Consider the following 20,221-nt stretch of genomic DNA (forward strand, 5'->3'; position numbering starts at 1 on the left):
ATCTTTTGTATCACTCAGAGCACCTAATGTACATGTTAATTTTTGTTAAATATTTAATATTTAAATATTGATTATCAAATATGCACATTCATTCATCTGTTTAATTGTTCAGTCAACAGTATTTAAATGCCTTCTACTTGTCAGGTACTGTGTTAAGTAATAAGGATATAAATGTTAGTGCCAGTACTGCTTGGAGCTTTCACACAGGTGGGAATATAAACATGTGTAGAAGGGAAGATATGCAAGTGATTATAGTAAAGTCGGATGAATTTTTCCAGTAGGAAAAGTAAAAAGAGCTGTGGAAACACTGTACCAGTTAGGATGCTTTGGCTGTAACGAAACCTAACTAAGAGTAGCTTAAATTAAACCAAGGGTCAGCAAACTTTTGTAAAGGGCTAGATTAGGGGTATCCAATCTTCTGGCTTCCCTGGGCCACACTGGAAGAAGAAGAATTGTTTTGGGCCACATATGAAATACTCTAACGATAGCTGATGAGCTAAAAAAAAATCACAAAAATCTCATAATGTTTTAAGAAAGTTTACGAATTTGTGTTGGGCCACATTCGAAGCTGTCCTGGGCTGCATGTGGCCCACGGGCTGCAAGTTGGAGAAGATTGGGCTAGATAGTAAATAATTTAGGCTTTCTGGATCATTTGGTCTCTGTTGCAGCTACTGAACTTTACAACTATAGGTAATAGTAAACTAACAGGAAGGCCGTATTTCAGTAAAACTATTTATAAAAATGGGTGTCTGGCTGGATTTGGCTCAAGAGTTGTTATTTGTCATTTCTGGCTTAAACTATGAGTGCACTTACCGCTAATAATGAGCAGTTAAAAGATAAGCAGTCTGAGGCTGTTTTTATACTTCTCACAGGCTAGTCTAAGCATGTTGGCTTTCATTTTCAGTCTTGACACCTTCTGGTTGAGAGATATTTCCCTCCATAAACTTCAAGCTGGTTGATCTTAACTAGTCTCTGTGTCAGGGAAGGGCTCTCAGATGAAGTGATTTTACATATTGAAGTAAGAGATGGGGAGGAATGATCATGCAAAATGAATTTCATATGGAAAGGCTTGGAGGCATCAGGATGTGTGTGGTACAATTTGAGGGACTGAAGTCTAGTGGGGCTTGGTTTAGAGTAGAAGATAAATAATGATGAGAGATGATTATGAGAGGGCTTTGAGTATGCAGTTAATTCTGGAGGCAGTGGGATGCCAATGTAGAGTTTCAAGTAGAGAAATGATGTGATTGGGTCTACATGGGGTATGAACAAAATGCTTTACTCACAGTGGACGTAAAAAGATAAGCATCGGCCAGGCATGGTGGCTCACGCCTGTAATCTCAGCACTTTGGGAGGCCGAGGCGGGTGGATCACCTGAGGTCAGGAGTTTGAGTCCAGCCTGACCAACATGGTGAAACCCTGTCTCTACTAAAAATACAAAAATTAGCTGGGCATAGTGGTGCGTGCCTGTAATCCCAGCTACTTGGGAGGCTGAGGCAAGAGAATTGCTTGAACCCAGGAGGTGGAGGTTGCAGTGAGCTGAGATCGTGCCATTGCACTCTAGCCTGGGCGACAAAGTGAGACTCCGTTTAAAAAAACAAAAGATAAGCATCTAACATTTTAAATGTATTTTTTCAGTATCAGGAATTTTGCTAAGCATTTGACATATATTATCTCATTTAATAACCTGATGAAATAGGTGCTTTTATTATCCTATTAATATAGATGAAGGTGCTTAGGCTTGTGGTCATAGAGCTAATAAACGGCAGAGTTAGGCTTCTAATTCAAATGGACTGACTGTCACCTGCCTCTTAACGACACACTATCCTCATTTCTTTAGTAATCCATAATTATTAATGATGAACAAGAGAGTTTGAGATCAAGTGATATACTGTTGTTTAAACGTTCCTAGAAAATAGAACTGAAAGAATTTTCTGTACACTGTTTTTCCCTGATCAGCCCAGAAATCTCATTAGTAAAAGATTGATCCCTTCTTTTCTCCCTCTCTCTTCGTTCTTACTTTCCCACCTCAGCATTTCATCTATTTAGAATTATATTTAATTATCTTCACAGACAATTCCTAGGCCTTAATTAAGTTTATTTTAGTGATGGTTTCATTAGCTGTCTTTTTTCCAGGTGGCTTTAAAAAATTTGTGGAGAGAGAGAGAGGAAAAAGGATTCACAAACATTTAAATTAGGACTTATGTATTAGTTCATTGTGATTGTGCAGTGCATGACAAGTGTTTTAGCTTGTGCTAAGTAACCTAAGTGCTTCTTCACATGGGAAAACAACCTATGTGCAAAAGTAACAGTATTTAGATAGATAGATAGATAGATAGATAGACAGAGAGACAGACAGACAGACAGGACACAAAGTATATATTTATAAAGCACAAAAAGCAAGGACAGTAAGTACAGTAATGGTAAAGCAAGGTAAAGGTTGTTTATAAATTGGGAAAAACAAAACAGGAAAGAAAGGAATGCTCAAGCAGGAATTAATGAGCTTAATAATGAGGGAGAGCTTTTTTATACTTTTGAGAAAAAAATGCGAGATCAGATAATTCTGAAAAACCCTTTTTAAATAACAGCTAATTATAGTTCTGGAAATACCTAGAACATTAAAATTGTAGAATTCGTCTTATAATGTCATAAATTGGCCTGCTAATTTTATTTATCTACAGATTTAGGAAGACCTAATATAAACTGGAAAGGTCTCAGGAGTTTCTAGGGACTAAAAGATGCCTTTCCTTATAACACTGTGTGAATGATTAATATAAGAAAGACATCGAGTCCTGTCTGAAATTTTATCAAGAATGTTTAATGACTTTTAATGTTTTATATTTATAAAATTTAGTTTCTAAGAATATTTTCTCCTTTAAACACTGATACAGATTTTTCTTTTTTGTTTTCCCCCCAAATTTTAAAAATAAATATTTCTTATCTTTAGAAAATTTCATTTTTTAAAAGTGAAAGCAATTTATTAAGAAAGTAAAGGAGTAAAGAATGGCTACTCCGTAGTCAGAGCAACTGTATTTCTTTTTTTCTAATTTGTAATTTTTAGAGACAGGGTCTCATTTTGTTGCTCAGGCTGGAGTGCAGGGATGTGATCATAGCTCACTGCAACCTTGAACTCCTGGACTCCAGTGATCCTCCCACCTTAGCCTCTTAAGTAGCTAGTACTGCAAGTGTTCACCACGAAACTTGGCTAATTTTTTTATTCTTTATTTTTTCTTGAGATAAAGTCTCACTATGTTGACCAGGCTGGCCTCAAACTCCTGGTCTCAAGCAATCCTCTGGCTTTGGCCTTCCAAAGCACTAGGATTACAGGAGTGAGCCACTGTGCCAGGCCCTAGATCATTACAATTTTTATAAGGGATAATGTCTTTGCATTATGAAAACAGATTTTTCTTAATAGCAGAGTTGTTAAGTTGAAATTGGATACAACATTATTTTGTTAAACTGTTATTGAGAGTCAACAATCAGAAATAGGAAACTTGTCATGGCATCTCATAATTGCAATTTGATTTGATGATGGTGAATGTTATACATCCTATCTAAGTCTTCTGTGGATTAACATATTATTGGACCTTCTTTACCTACATCTTGATCCAAACTGCCTAACATATAGTTGACTGGTATAAAACCTCTTTAAATATGTCTTTGAAAAATTAGTTGTGAACAAATATGTAAGTAGCCACTAGTGATGTTCTACTACTCATTCTTAAATCACAGTGCCATCCTTAAAAGGGGAATTTGGATGGGATTGATTTAAATCACCAGCTAGGAAAATTTGGTTTCAGGCAGTTGTTGCCTACTGCTGTGGTTTGAATATGTCTCCCAAAGTTTTTGTGTTGGAAACTTGATCCAAATTGCGGCAGTGTTGGGAGGTGGGACCTTTATGGAAGGTGGGTCTTCCCTCATGAATGGATTAATGCAGTTATCAAGGGAGTGGGTATGCTATCATGGGAGTAGGTTTCTTATAAGGCTTCCCCCTCCTACGTGCTCTTTGCCTTTCTTCTTTGGAATGATGCAGCAAGAAGTTCATCATCAGATGCTGGCCTCTCAATCTTGGACTTCCCAGCATCCAGAACTGTGAGGCAATAAATTTTTATTCATTATAAACTAATGACCCAAACCATTGCATTCTGTTATAGCAGCACAGAATGCACCAAGACACCTACTAAAATGCTTTCTTCGTAATTTGAATAACTTTAGAATTCATTAGGAACCTAATTTTGTATTTCTAAGTGTGCCTTTCTTCATGACCTGCTACCATGAAAAGTTTTCACCGTTATTATTTCCTCATTGGATTTTCAGTAGATGGATGCTGTTCTGAGAAATGTACCCAACAAGACTTTTGGGATATTTTACTGAAATACTTGTATTTATACATTCTTCCATTTTTCTTTGTATAATTTTCAGAAGCTTTATACTTTTTGAGAGAGGTAAGAATTTGCCTCTGGATATATAATTTATTTTTCTATAATATGGGGATGGTGGTACTTAAAAAGCTGTAAGTATTATAAGCAGTGTGAATAAGAAAACTAGTACCATGTAGTAATCATACTTTATAGATATATGTTAGTTATGGCTTTAACCTTGGCAAAATTCCAGTGTCTTCAGTTTTAGAGTTTCATGTAATAAATTCCTGTCAATAAGGGGTTTTGTTTTTTATTCCCTCTACCTAGTGATTGGTAGAAGATGTTGGGAGTGATTTGGGAAAGCTGGACTCTGAGTTTTGACAGCAGTTACATACTTATAGAGTCTGTCATATTTTTCCTAACCTGTTATTTATACAGCAGGAAGTAATTTATGCTAATTTACCCCTATTTGCATATAGGTTATAGAGTTCTGTGGTGCAGAGCATGCTTAGAACTCCTTTTAAGTGTCTGTTTGGATCAAAGCAGGGCTGTGTGATAGCTGTTGTCTGACACCAAGCTGTGTGGTGTTGTTTTCATTAAACATTTATCACACTTCCAATGTGACAGCAGGCAACTTTGTGCCAGGATAACATGTCTTCATGCAAAATTTATTGAAAAAGACGAAGACTTTGTAAAGAGATCTTGTTGCCTTTCACCAGTGGCGAAGGGTAAATGTTTGGTTCGAAAGCAGTATATCGAAAGTATACCTTTAACACATGTCATTATAGCATGCAAAAAAAAAAAAAAAAGCTTCATACCGTCAATTTTGTTAAGCAGGTAAACAAATACATCTTTATATACATGTGTGCACTGGAATCTTTTTAAATTAAAGTTTTTACAGTTTCCTCATAAACCAAATGAATATTATAACATAGTGGCCCATTGTGTTGTTGGCCATTTTATATTACAGCAAAATTTACCACCCAATTTCTATTCTGTGGGTTTGAATATTTGGTATTAGTTCTGATTTAACCAAAATAATCTAATTTTTTAGAAAAGATGAGGTCAAGAAAGGGAACATAATATAACAAAAAACATTCAGCAAAAGCAGGAGACAAGGATTTCCTCAGTACTCCAAGGTAACCACCTTTCTTTTATACATTATATCAGTACATTTAAATTATCACACAGTGTGCCCAATGGGATTTGACTTGAATTATGCCTGATAACGTCTTAAATGGCATGAATTGTAGGTTCATTCTCTTTTTTGGTGATTGCTCGACTGTGAAAGCTTTAGAATGAGAGAAGGTACTTTAAATTTCCTTTTTCATTCCACAGGAGGCTGAGGAATTAGGGATATGTGAAGAAGTTAGAGGATGGGAGTAGCCTCATGCTGGACTTTTTAGTAAGTTTCATTACATGGTCTATAAAAAATTTAGTGGACCCTTTGCAAGAGGTATTACAAAAATTATGTTAGCATTAACATTCAGGAATAAAAGGGAAAGAGTACTGAGTTGTAGTGTAATGGAAGACCCTTGTCTTTGGACCGGTATGGAATGCACAGAAACCTTCAAATTCTGACTCATTATGCTTTGGAGCTACTGAGGGATGATTGTTTTTAAAACGGCAAAACCATGCCTCATACAAATATACATGAACACTTGCCAAAGATATTACTTACCTAATTAATGAGAAAATAAGTGAGACGTTACAAGTAGCTCAAAGGATCAGGAGTAGACACAAACGTAGGCTACCAAAAATCTAGCCATGAATAACGTAATAGATTCAAAACTAGCTTCTTCCACATAGGGGAAGGAAATCAATTACACCTCCACTGGACAAAATTCATTTGCCTGTTTATAGAAAAGAATTATTTGCATTGCTATCAATTATCTATAATCTATGGAGTCTAAAAATACCTCAGATAAGGAAAGGTGCCCTAGACAATATACCCGGTAGTCTTTTTTGATCATCTCAAGTCATTTACAGTTTTTTTCCTGTGAGAAGGCAAGTAACTTTTTTGAACTTTAAATTTATTATTCCATAAGATGGAGATAATGGTAATAGAGAAGATGTTAACTATTAGAAGCAGTGTGTGTCAGAAGACTAGTACTATGTAGTAGCAGCTCAATAAATGGTCATCATTTTATTTTTTATTGATAAAACAGTTTTAACTATTGGTTTTGTGATTACCAGTTTCTCAACTATCATTCTTTTTTCTCACTTTTGTGTCTTTTTAAAGGTTGTTCCTTCAGTCTGAAATACTTTCTTCTCTACTTTTCTTGCCAGTTGCTATTCATCTTTTTGGGTTCATTTTAAATTTCATTTATTTTGTAAAGTATTCCTAACTCCTCAAGAGTGTGCTGAGTACCCTTGCAGTTAATTCCCATTGTATTTGTACCTAATCTGAACAGAGTTTTGTAATGTTACGATTACAAATTACCTTGTCTGTCTTAGTTAACATTGTATTTACTTGGATTATAGTAAGTACTCAAATATTTGTAGAATGAATAATACATGTTTATTTTGAAGTTGATTTTAGGTAATTAAATCCAGCTTAGAAACATGTAAAAGTGATAACATTGCATTTTTTTTAAGCAACTTTTTTGTACTACCCCATTTCTGGTTCAAGTGTGCGTGTGCATTCACATACATACACTACTTCCATCCAAGTCTCCAGACTGCATTAAAAAAAAATCCTATGTAACTTTCACTTTTTTCTGTATTTTAAATGTTATCAATCATGCTACAGTTAGTATCATTTAGCATCAGTTGTTTAAAAAATTGAATGTCACTGCTAGGATTCATATTTTAAATACCAATTAAAATTCCAGTCCTGATTGATCACTTTTCATGCCTAGTCTAATTTATTTCAGGAACTTAATTGATATCACCTATTCTGTTGATTTTGTATATGGTTACAGGGCAGACTACCAGACTTAAACACACTATTTCATTGAGATCTTTAACTGAAGGCCTTAGTGTTTGCCTTTAGTAAGGTTATGAATGGCTTTGTAAGCTAGAGAGTCTGCACTACTGTTAGAGGAACGTAAAGGGAATAAACTTGGAGTGCCAGTCAAGTCTTTTCTTCCTAAGTAAACAAGTAGGTCCCCTAAATGCTAAGCTGTTGCTTATAATCACTCATTACAGTTCTAATTTATATCTCATTGTAAAGCATCTTGAGTATCCCTGATATGAATGATGCTAAACCAAATAGAAGCAGTCTGCTGTGTATTTTTTTAAAATTCGAGTTTATTCTGTTCTCACAGGCTTTCTCCCCAGTCTAGTGATCATTGGAGTGGCATCTCCAAAATGGAACAGATTGGAATAAACCATAATGCTTGATTGACATGTTAGATAAATCTTGGTCAGCACAAGTATAGAATCAGAAATTTATCCTCCTTTGATTAAATGGCAAAGATTGAAGAAACAGATATCTCTATGTTGGTTTATTTTTATATCCTAATGTGATATTATAGGACAGTTTTAAAGTGCCTGGTTTAAATATTCTTAATATCCTAGTATAAAATGAGTATAGCCAGATGATAGGAATAACATATGTCTCTTTGGATAGATGTAGTTATGGGGTGTACTTTTCTACTAAAGCAGAGTAAGTTGTAATGCATTCCATTTGTGTAAATGTCGTCAACATATCTTAGATTTCAAGGCAATGAAAGTATATAATAAAAGAAAATCTCCAAATGGTATCATTGGGGTTAATGCTTTTCATTTAGTGATAAAGATATGATCCTTGGGTTCCGAGATTGCATATAACTACAGGAAGATAAGGATAAATCTCAGAGAATGAACCTTGTGGGTATAAACCCAAAGCACTTTTTAATGCTATTACATATGTGATGATCACTAACATAGCAAGTGCAGTTAGGGAAATACAACAATGAGTACTGCTGTTTTAATTCTCTCTGAACTCCTGCAGGAGGTTTTGAAATTGCAGTCTTTGGCCCCTGTGGATATGCCAGCCTGTGACAGGCCACCTGGAAATAGATCATGAAAATCAATTTGGTTGTCATGTTGCAGCCTTAGCTTCTTTTTCTTGAGAAAGATAAAGGAGGGCATTCTACATTAGAAAAAGAAATGGGTAGATATCAGATTTTGAAAAATAATGTGTATTTGGAATAAGCCAGATGTGAAATTCATAACTACTTAGAAATTAAGTACACTTAAAAATTGTAAAAGGCAGTAGTAGAAGAAAAATGTTTTCATTATTCAAAGCTCTCTAGGCAAAGACAGCTTTAGTGTAGTCAGCCTTCCATACCCGCAGGTTCCACATCCATGGATTCAACCAACCACAGATCAGAAATGTTTGTGGGAAAAAACAATAAAAATAACAATACAACAATAAAAAATTATACAAAAAGTACAGTATAACTATTTACATAGCATTTACATTATATTAGGTATAATTAATCTAGAGATGATCTAAAGTATACAGGAGGATGTGTTACTGTGCTATTTTGTGTAAGGGACTTGAGCATCCTTGGATTTTGGTATTCATATTGGGTGAGTTTTAGTAGTTTTCGGTTATCAAAGAATTGGCTTATTCCATCTTAGTTGTTGAGTTTATATTCATAGAGTTGTTCATAGTATTCCCTTAGTATCTTTTTAAAATTTTTGTGTGACCTGTAGTGATAACTTCCTTTCATATCCTGATTTTTTGAGTAAGTATTGCTAGAGGATTTTTTGGGGTTCATTGATATCTTTTGTCAATGTTTTTCTTTGTTCAATTTTATTGATTTCTGTTCTTTATTATTTTTTTTCTCCTTCTTTGAGTTTATTTGTACATGTTTTTCTAGTTCCTTAAGGTAGGACCTTAGATTATTGATTTGTGATCTTTTTTCTTTTCTAATACAAGTGTTTAGTGATATAAATGTCTTTCTAAGCACTGCTTGAGCTACATCCCACAAATTCTCATATGTTGTGTTTTTATATCTTCTCAGTTCTCAATATTTTCTAATTTTCCTTGTGATTTCCTCTTTGATTCATGGATTATTTAGATATGAAATATATGATTTCAAGTGTTTGGAGATTTCCCTATATCTTTCTTTTACTGATTCTAGCTTCATTTCATTATGACCAAAAAACATACTTTGTATGATTGTAGCTCTTATAAATTAGTTAAGGTTATTTTTATGAATTAGGATATGGTCTGTCTTGGTGAATGTTCCATGTGTATTTTGCTGTTGTTAGGTCATCTGTTGTATAAATAGCAATTAAATCCAGTTGGTTGATGGGAATTTTCTATCTCTTGGCTTATTTCCATCTACTAGTTGTTGATTACTAAAGAGAAGTGTTGAAGTCTCTAACTATAATTCTGTATTTTGTTACGTCAGATTTTGCTTTGTGTATTTTTTAGCGCTTTTGTTTGGTTTTATTTGGTGTATGTTTAAGATTGTTGTCTTCTTGGTGATTTGGTGCTTTCATCTTTGTTCTTCATAGTTTTATTGCTACAAAATACACATTGTATGATATTAATATAGCTATTCTTGATGTCTTTTGATTGGTGTTGGCCTGGTATATCTTTTTCCATCTTCCATCATTTACTTTTTAACATGCTTACATCATTATATTTGAGATGAGTTTCTTGCATATAGATAGTTTTTTTTTTTTTTTTTGGGTAAATGTAGAGACAGGTTTTGCTGTGTTGCCCAGGCTGGTCTCAAAATCCTGGCCTCTAGAAGTCCTCCTGCCTTGGCCTCCCAAAGCATCTGGCCTTGTATTCATTTTAAAAATCCATTCTGAGAGTTAGTCTTTTAATTGGTGTGTTTACATGACTCACTTTAATATAATTATGGATATGTTTGGATTTAGGTCTTCCCTTCTGTCATTAATTTTCTGTTTATTTCCTCTGTTTTATTTCTGATTTCCCTTTCCTATATTTTTATGGGTTGTTTGGACATTTTTTATTACCTCATTTTAATTTCTCTGTTGTATTTTTGAGTACATTTCTGTATATAGATTTTTTTAGTGGTTGCCCTAGGAATTATAATACACGTACTTAATTCTTCACAGTCTACTTAGAATCTGTGTTTTATTGCTTCAGTTGGAATGTGGAAATGTAACTAGCCTTTAATCCTTAATTCTGAAAACCTCATGAGGCAAAGTTTATAGTTTTTGCTTTAAACTGGCAAAGATATTTTAGGATGAGGAGATTATGTTTTACTTTTACTCAGATATTTTACCATTCTCTTGTGTTGTAGGGTTAATTTTAAGTTTTGCAAATGCTTACCATTTTTGTTACTTTTAATTATTTTTCATCTTTGAGCTTCTGCTTGAGATAATTTTTCTTTATCCTGAAGAGCATCCCTTATTATTTTTGTAAATTCTCAGGTTTTAAAATTTTGTGTGAAAATATCTGTATTTCTCCTTTATTAGAAATTCAGTGAGCAATGAATTATAAGTAGACATATATTTTATTAGGTTGGTGCAGAAGTAATTGCGATTTTGCCATCACTTTTAATAGTTCCATAATATAAAGGCATAATTTTATTTTCCCCTGACTTTCTCAATTTTGTTTTAGAAGTTCTGGGTTTCTGGTTTTTAGCAGTTTTACTATGATGTGGCAGTTTTTGTTTTTTTATGATTAGCTTAAGTTCACTTTCTCTTTTTTTAAAAAAAATCTATTATGTCTAATCTGCTAAGTGTATCTGTTGAGTTCTTAATTTTCTGTAATATATTTTATATTTTCCTTATTATATTTTTGAAGTTCTAATTTTTTGTATTCTTTTTATGGTTTCCTCTTCACCAGTTCTCAATTTTATGTTTATCTTCTTTCAGCTACTAGGTTTAGTTATTTTGTAGTCTATGACTTTGATGTGTAGTCTCAATGGATTCATTTCTGTTGCCTCTGAGAGTAATCCGGGATAATATTAATCTAGTTTCAGCAGTTAAATTGCTAACTCTTACAGGCCATCAAACAAACAAAAAATTGTTTAAAAAAATTTCCAGCCATTGTAATAGTTCTTTAGAAAAAGGGTTGATTCAAATTATCGAATCTACCATTACTAGAATGGGAATTTCCATCCTATTTTATTATCTCCCACATACCTGAGCGTCCAGAGGTGAATTTGTTATCCTTCTTACTTTCCCTTCTTCCTTCCAAACCGTTGTTCGTCTGCTCTTTATTTTGAACTAAGTAAATTAAAACCTGTTCCTCTGATGCTCATGCTATTCACCATGAAACTATCTTTCCCTTCATTTTGCTGTCATAATATGTGTTAGGCAGTGCTCCTTTTTCACTAAAGACTAGCATCTGGCTTACAGTCTTCCTGTCCTTGAATCCATTTTCCAAGTCTTAAGTAGGCCAGAACTATTCTTAGAACTTCAGCTATATCTATACAGTTGCCTGTTGGACATGTCTAGAATCTGAAGTTCAATATATTCAAAACTAATCTCATGAGTGCTCCCCACCAAGAGGAGAATTAAAAGATGTGATCAAAGTTGTATGTACCTTCAGGGTTGCTAGAATATAAATTAGTAACGAGTACTGCTCTTCTCCAAAGAGTCCATGATATGACTCTTTGAGAATATGAGAATCCTCTTCTCCAAAGAGTCCGTGATATGTTACTGTAGTAGATGTAGTAGAAACAACATTAGACTGGTATGTGTGGGTTCTAGCGTTGGCTCTTCTGCTCACTTGCATGTGACTGGGCTGGTCACTTAACATCTCTGAGTTTTATATTCTTTATAAAATGTGAGGCATGGAGTAAACGGTCTCTCAAGTCCTTTTTTGTGGTAGAAAATTTGCTCACCAGTCTTCATTGAGGAGGAGTACAATATTCTGGGATTGAAGAGGAAAGCATTTTAGTATAATTCTAAATTATGATGTTAGGTTCCTCACATTAAATTAATTATCCTGAGGATTCTCTACCTTTCCCACATGCAGGAACAGTGATAACTGATGATAGCCTAGGTATTACCACCTAGCTGATGCCCTCCCTCCATTTTGTCATTTATTCATCAAATGCCAGGCACTGGGTTGTGTCTTGGAGATTCATTCCATGGTGATGGATAATAGTTATAGTGCCTAACATTATGGAAATTATGGTCCAGTGTGTGTGTGTGTGGGGGGGGAATTGTAAATATGAAATCACATAAATATCATTTTTAGTAGTAATAAAAAGCCAAGCATAAGACATGTGTAGTGCTTTGAGCAGAATATAATGGTGGGGACGGAGATGTATTTGACCTAGAATAGTTGGGGCAAACTTTCCTGAAGAAATAGGATGAGTAGGAGTTAGTGAGGGAAGGAGCAGGGAGAAGAAAATTACAGAGAGAGGAAACATCATCAACAAAGGCCTCTAGAATGGAGGGACACTGATACGAACAGGGACTGAAAGATGATCACAGAAGCTAGAATGGAGAGGAGGGGAAGCACTGTCTGAGATGGGGCCGGAGAAACAGATAGGGGCTAGACTATGCAGGGCCTTGTAAACCTGGTTAAGGATTTTGGTCTCTATCTTAAGGGTAGCAGGATGCCTTTGAAGTGGTTTAATCTGATGGGTGACATGATCAGATTAGTGTTTTGAAAAGATCACTCCAGCTGCAGTGTGGAAAACAGATTGCAGAGGGATAAGTAAGAGTGGATGCGGAGAAACCAGATAAGTAGCACAGTAATCTAGGAGAGATGTAATAGTAGCTTGGGCCAGGGATTTGGCATTGGAGATGGAAAGAAGTTGCTGAATTTGAGACATATTTATGTATTTAATGATAGGTTTGATTTGGTAAATGAGATGCAGATGTTAAGGATAACCATTAGTTTTCTGATTTATATCATTGGAACAATGGTGAGACTTTTTACTGAGCAAGGATTACATTGGAAGATGGCAGGGTATCATACATTTGCTTTGGACATACTGAGTTTGAGGATCTTTTGGGACTTTCAAGAGGAGAATGAAAGTAGTCAGGAGGATATATTGTAGGTGCAGAACTCAGGAGAGTTTTAACATGGTCTCAGGTTTTCAATTCCGTTTTATTCTTAACTCTTTAGGTATTTTACTTGGACCTTGATGACTACAGAAACCTATAAAGGGGAGGCTGCAGTAACCCAAGCAATATCTTCCATATGGCAAGATTAAATCACAGTGACTGCTGGATGTGACCCATGGGCCACAACAAAGATAAATGCATTGTGCCATGGATTACTTTGGATGCTGTTAAAATGTGTCTGGCACTATTGTAGTTACTGGAGATTGCAAAGATGAATAAGACACGGTCTTTGATCTCAAGAAACTTCCATGTAGTTTGGAAGCCAGACACACAAATAATGATAACAATGTAGTAAGAGTGCTGTGACAGAAGATGCCCACTATACTAGGGGAGCATATTGAAAGGACACTTAATCCAAAATTAGCCAGTCAAGGAAGATTTTCTGGAGGTGTTGACACTTAAACCATCTGGAAGAATATGGAAGAGGAAGTGAGAAGGAAAGGGAAAAACAGAAGGATTAAAAGGAGAGGGATTATTATATGTTTAGGAAACCATTTTTATTCCTCTTTTTTGGGGAGTAATTACCTTTTTATTGTTAGACACAGAAAATACCTTCTGGAAACAAGGTGACATCAAGCATTGTTGGTTCTTCCTTTTTTTCTTTTGTTTTCTTTCTTTCATTCTCCTCCTCTTTTTCCTTCCTCCTTTTCTGAATAGATGATATATTTCAGAATGGAACATTATATAAGGGCTTACATACAGTACAGAGTCTTATTTACATCTTTTCCCCCATCCACTCAATTCCTATTCTTTCCCTAAAAATCCATGTAATTACATTTATTAGTTTTTTAGTTATCCTTCTAGGGTTTCTTTATATAAAATTATAGGCAAATACAAATATACATTTGAAAAATTCCCTTTCCTTTTGGGATCTTTAGTTCATTCTGGCTAAAAGAAATATAAATAAATAAGAAAGGGATATAAGAGGAGGTGCCACAGGATTTTTGACTTGAAGGATTTTAACTTAGAGAAGCAACACTAAGGAGAATGGATTGAAGGCTGAGAGAGACCATTTAGGAGTCTTATGGTAAGTAATGTGCGGGAGTAATGATGAAGCCTTAATAAAGGTAGTGGCAGCTGAGAAGGAAGGAATGTTACCTAAGTGGATCTTGATCTGACTTGAGTTCAGAAACTTACCAGTTATTTAATACTGAATGATAATGTGGAGACACTAAGGATAGAATTTGGATGAATTGTTTGAATAGTCAATGGAAGAGAATGAAAATCAATGGGGTTTCCTCATGAAATGAGGAAAAGAAGCTAATGGAGAAATGGGTATAGCACAGTGGTTAATAACTTATACACTAAAGTCTTGTAGACCTGCCTTTAAGTCCAACTCTTTCATTTACTAGCTGTGTGATCCTAGTCAAGTCACTTAATCTCTCCAAGTCTTGGTTTATCTCTAAAATGGCCATGATAAACATTACTACTTCATATGTTTGCATGAAGATTAAAACAGATAATGTATTAAGGAAGGGTTTGTATCCGTGGCTCACTGGAAGGGCTAATCGTAGATAGGGAAGTCATATGATCCTTTGAAGTCAGTGAAGGTGGGAATGAGAAGGTAGTTAAGTGAAAGTAGAAAGGAACTTGAAATACTCATACATAGTTACTTTGATAGTCTGCCAATAGTTGACTTGGGAATGCCACTTGAGTCCTTTGGGCCTCAGTCCATCTGTCTGTACTCTGAAGGTTAGATGAAATGATGGCCAACGTCTTTCCAAATTTGTTCTTCTGACGCCGTACCGAAAGCCAACTTGAAAGCCTAAAACCATATATTCTATGAAGTAGGTTTCAGAATAAAAACTGTAATTCTTTCGGGTGCTATTAGTTTATTGAGTTAGATTGATTATATGCCAACACCCAGGGTATTACCTCTATCATATGTTTAAGTTTATTTTTATGTGATTGCTTCCTTGAATAATTTTGTTGCTGTTTTGACTATGAAGGATACTTTTTCTTCCTTCCTTTCTTTCTTTCTTTTAATAACCACCTTGTATTTTAAAAAGACTATTGTTTGCCTTGGTCCTTTTAATCTGCCCATGAGGAATTCAAGCTGAATGATAGGGAGCTGTGAAAATCCAGTTAGTGTGAGCTGTAATCTTTTTACTGGCTTTAAATAGTTAGAATACCATGCAGACACCCTGCAGATAACTGAATCAAAACATACAGTAATCACCTAAACATGGATTCTGCCTTTGCTGTTAGGGAACCATAGTAAAAATCACTAATAACCATTTACTTTGCAGAAAAGATATTTGGTCATGATATCAAATAAAATCAGGGTTTGATATTAAAAGCCATATTTCACAGGTAGGCAACCCAGTATTGGTGAAAAGTATTGATTTCTGAAAATTTGATATTATTCAGTATTTGTAATATCCTCTGACTATAATAGAGTCAGGAAAACATCTTTATAAAAAGAGAATATTTATAATTCTTTAATCTTTAGTCGGTTTCTACTTCAGATCTTGCTAAAGGAAAACAAAACACTAGTAAGATAATCAGGCTTTGGAACTATAATAAATAGCAAGAAGAAAGTGTGCTGCTCTTTTCTTATAAAAGAAACTGGTTCCACTAATGCAGTTTATTGAATTTAGATAGCAAAATATTCCCTAATAACTTTGTCAAATGGTGGTCTATTTTTCTAGCTTTATAGGCTGCTTTTTTTTTAAGTTGAAAGATGGATTTCTCATCCATTAGATTCTGCATTAGAGTGATGAGAAACATGGTATGCAGTATGCCGATGCTGCTTCCTAATTTCATTAGCTTTCCATTTTCTAATACTGCTGTTGATAATATTCTAGTGAAGTTTATAAAATAAAATAGTCTACTTGTTGAAACCAATATTCTAGTGTTGCTGGTATGATTCATGCTACATTAGGAGTTCGTAAGTCATTAATAATCTTTTATGTTTAGTGTATTCTTCTGAACAGTAAACTTGAACTCCTTTGTTTTGCAAGATTTGTAGGGCCTACTCCAGGACAAAGATTTCATAAAGTAGATGCCTTTCCTATGCTTATTGCTTTGCCTCAAGCAGTTTTACAGAGCTCAACCTGCCAGTTCTTCAAAATAGGGAAGCCTACTTTTCATCAAAAATATAGATTCTGAGGACTGTGTTTGCCAGTCCAGAGTCTTCATACTTAATTTTTTTAAAAGAGGTATTTATTATAGAAATATTGAAACATAAAAATGTGGAGAGATTCGTATAATGAAGCTGATTTATCTATACTTCCAACATTTTCAGTATTTGGCTGTTATAGATATGCTTGTGTACAAATGTTTTGGAAAACTGATGACAGTATTATTATATTACCTAATGTATCCATGAAAGTTCTAAAAGCCATTGCCATTTTTAGGGGATTGATAAGTTTTGGTGTGCATTTAGATTAATTGTAAATAATAGTAAGAGGGGCAGTTTACGATCAGTTATAATGTTATTTACATATAGAGCACTATGGACATTGTGCAAAACATTCTGAGGAGCACATAATTGTGGGGGACTATGCTGATACTTGCTAGTAATATTACTTATCAGTCACATAGCCTCCATTTTTTTCACATGTAACCATCTTTGCCTGTATCCTTTCTAAGGATCTGCTCCTATAGTCACATCTTAAAAAGGTAACAAGCCAAGCAACATATTGTATAACATGGTGACTATAGTTAATAGCAATGTATTATACACTTGAGAATTGCTGAGAGTAGATATTAGGTGTTTTTACCACAAAAATAAGTATATGAGGTAGTGTGTATATTAGCCCAGTTTAGTCATTCCCCCAGTATTTACATATTTCACAACATCTTGTTTGTACACTATAAATATATATAATTTTTGTCAATTAAACAAGTTAACAAGCTTGTCATTATTATTAGCTTTATGCCCCAATCAAATCTTGATGGCATATATTCATTCTCCGTCCCCCACCCCTTATATTTCCAAACCAGTAACTCTAGTATCACTTCTTAAATTGTTTGACCATTAAATATACCACTTTTTATTATCCATCACCACTTTGCTGTATTTACTTCTTTTCTGACCCAAATTAGCATCATTCTTTTCTGTGTCAATGGAAGAAATGTCTTTGTTTTTATCATTTTGCTCTGAATCCCGTTACCTTTTCTAACTGTGCTCTGTTCAACATCAGTTCCTTCCTCTCCTGGATAATTCCTACCAGCATCTTAAAAACAAAGCAAAACACAACCCTTAACTTTCACTTGACCTCTCATCTCCTCCAGCACTATTCCATTTCTCTGCTCCTCATTTCAGTAGTAATTTCGTTTATTTTCTTTATTCCACTTCTTACCTATTCACTCTTCAGCACATTTGAGTTTCTGTTCTTACCACTCCGCTGAAACCTCCATTGTCAAGTGACTTCTATTCTGCCACATCCAGTAGACACTTCTCTCTTATCTTGTAGGTTTTCTGAACAATGTTCAGCACAGTCCATTACTCATCTTTGATCTTCCTCGTATGCCCTTCGTCTTCCTCTTTCTTGAAATACCTTCCTCTCTTGATCATCTGCAATACCATCTCAGTGGCCACTCCTCTGATGTCTTTTGCCTCTGCAAATGTTGAAGCATCTCTAGACTTGGTAAGGGGGTTCCATCATTTTTCAGACTCTGTAGGTTAGGTTCAGGAAACTTTTTCTGTAAAGGGCCAGATTGTAAATATTTTAGGCTTTTCAGGCTGAGAGGCAAAATCAAAGATATTATGTAGGTACTTACAGAAGAAAAGAAAACAAATTTCCATACGTGTCAAACAAATGATTAAATTCAAACTCTAATAATTATTATTTATCTTCTTTGTCTCCACTGGTATCTTGAGTGGAGTGATATCTCCACTGATACAGACCAAGCCCGTCATCATTTTGCCACCTGATCTATAGTTTAGCTTCCTGATTTTTTTTTTTGCTTTCAATCTTGTCCTCCCCATAATCCATTATCCACACAATGTGCAGAAGGATTTCTTAAAAATGTAAGTCATGTTATGTCACTCCTCTGCTTAAATCCTTTAGTGACTTCTTTTTGAAGTTTTTATTTTGGACATTAAAGTACCACAGGCTCATGCACTCCAGTTTATCTCACGCCACTCAAGATGCTGTAGCCACACTGTTCTTTCCATTCTCTAGACCTTTGCAATTGTTGTTGCCTCTGTTTGGAATGCCTCCTCCAGGGTCTTTGTATATGGTTCTCATTCTCATTATTTAGTTTTTACTTCAAGTGTAATCTTTTTAAAGAGACCTTTCCTGAACACTGATTGTAAATTAGCTGTCCCTACCCCATTACTCTATATTCTGTTTCTGTCCTTCAGAGTACTTATCACAGTGTGTAATCATCTTGTTAGTACTCCCACCAGAATATAAACTTCAGAAGGGAAGGGTCCTTGTTCACTGCTATATCTGCAGAACATATAAATAATGCTTGATGCATAAATGGTACTGAAGTAAGATTTATACATAAATGAATTTAATGACTAAATATGTCACTTGGATTTAAATCTCAGGTTTCTTCATCACCTTTATCTGTAACTTTCATTTCTTAAGATAAAATTTTGATTTTTAAAAATTATCGTCAGCATACGCTTTAAAATTTAATGTAGAATATTTTAAGTTAAATTTTTTTCCACTCTGCTCCACATTTCCCCCATCCTGTTCCTCAGAATTAGGAATTAGAATTTACATGCATGATTTTGTGCTTCTCTGCTTTCATCTGTATGTTTATAATAGTGTTCAATATATTATATAAATGGGATTATGCTATGTAGATTTCTGCAACTTGATTTTTGTACTAACGGTAGCACTTGAGTACTAAGGCTTATTTTTAATTTTGAAATCACAGAATTTCTTTTGTGAAAAGAGTGGATGGTTAAATCCATATTCCAGGAATTAAAGGCTTTCTCATTTCCTCTGTATAAATGTCAAGGTTAAGTAGCAGTGCAGGTGGGGTATAAAGCAAAGAATCAGAATTGGAGTCTTTTCCTCCCCTCCCCTCCACTTTACATTGGATTAACTCTAATTGTTCACAACATTTGAAAGATATTTTCAATGGTAAATGATCTCATCTATTGTATTAACCTTCAACTAGTATTTTAGATATAATTATTTTTATGAACAAGCTATGAAATGTATGGTCTACTGTATAGCAGGTGATAAATTTATTTTGAGAGAAGAATATTAAAACTGTTTTAACAACTGAAAAAGAACAAAGGATATTTTCTATTTTGAAGAGAATTTAAGAAGTATCCTTTCTGGCTAAGTAAATGCCTATAAATATTGTGATAGTAGAAATACGGTATATTCAAATCTCTTTCAAATGAGGTTTTTGAAGTACCAATCTTGATAATTTTCATCTTCCTTTTAGAAAACTAGTCTTTTTGTCTGTCTTGACAATGATACTGAGTTTCCTCTGCCTCAGTACAAAAAATATTTTTTACAGATCATCATGGTAGATGTATAGCAAGAGAGACCTAGTCTAGCCTGTTTCCCTGCAGATGAGTAGAGTGTGACCACCAGAGGTTAAGTGATACATTTTTCCAAGATAGCTAGCAGGGTGAGATTTTGATATTTTAAGTTACGTAGTTGTCTAAGTAACTCTTATCTTATTGAAGACAGGTATGGGTTTTGTATTTAGAGATTTTGTATCTCCCTACTATGATTAACACCAGTATATATTAAATACATATGTATTAATCAGTAAATACAAGGAATTTTCCCAGGATTTTAAGTTTCAACCAATTGCTCTATGCCCTGTTGAACTTGCTCCCCCTTAATGACTGATTAAAGTACTCTCCCACTTTTCATTGCCTCCTGTTCAGTTACTGCTGCCCAGAGCCAGAGAGTTTGTTTGTCTTGTTA

At 34.5% G+C, this 20,221-nt stretch overlaps 1 protein-coding gene across 6 annotated transcripts in view; it reads left to right on the forward strand.

Moving 5' to 3' along the window:
* The window catches only part of RSRC1 (arginine and serine rich coiled-coil 1), a 435,642-nt gene that overhangs the window by 95,236 nt on the left and 320,185 nt on the right, over positions 1-20,221 (forward strand). The gene's annotated exons all lie outside the window — the stretch shown is intronic.

The sequence above is a fragment of the Homo sapiens genome, chromosome 3, assembly GCF_000001405.40.
Source record: "Homo sapiens chromosome 3, GRCh38.p14 Primary Assembly".
Lineage (NCBI taxonomy): Eukaryota > Metazoa > Chordata > Mammalia > Primates > Hominidae > Homo > Homo sapiens.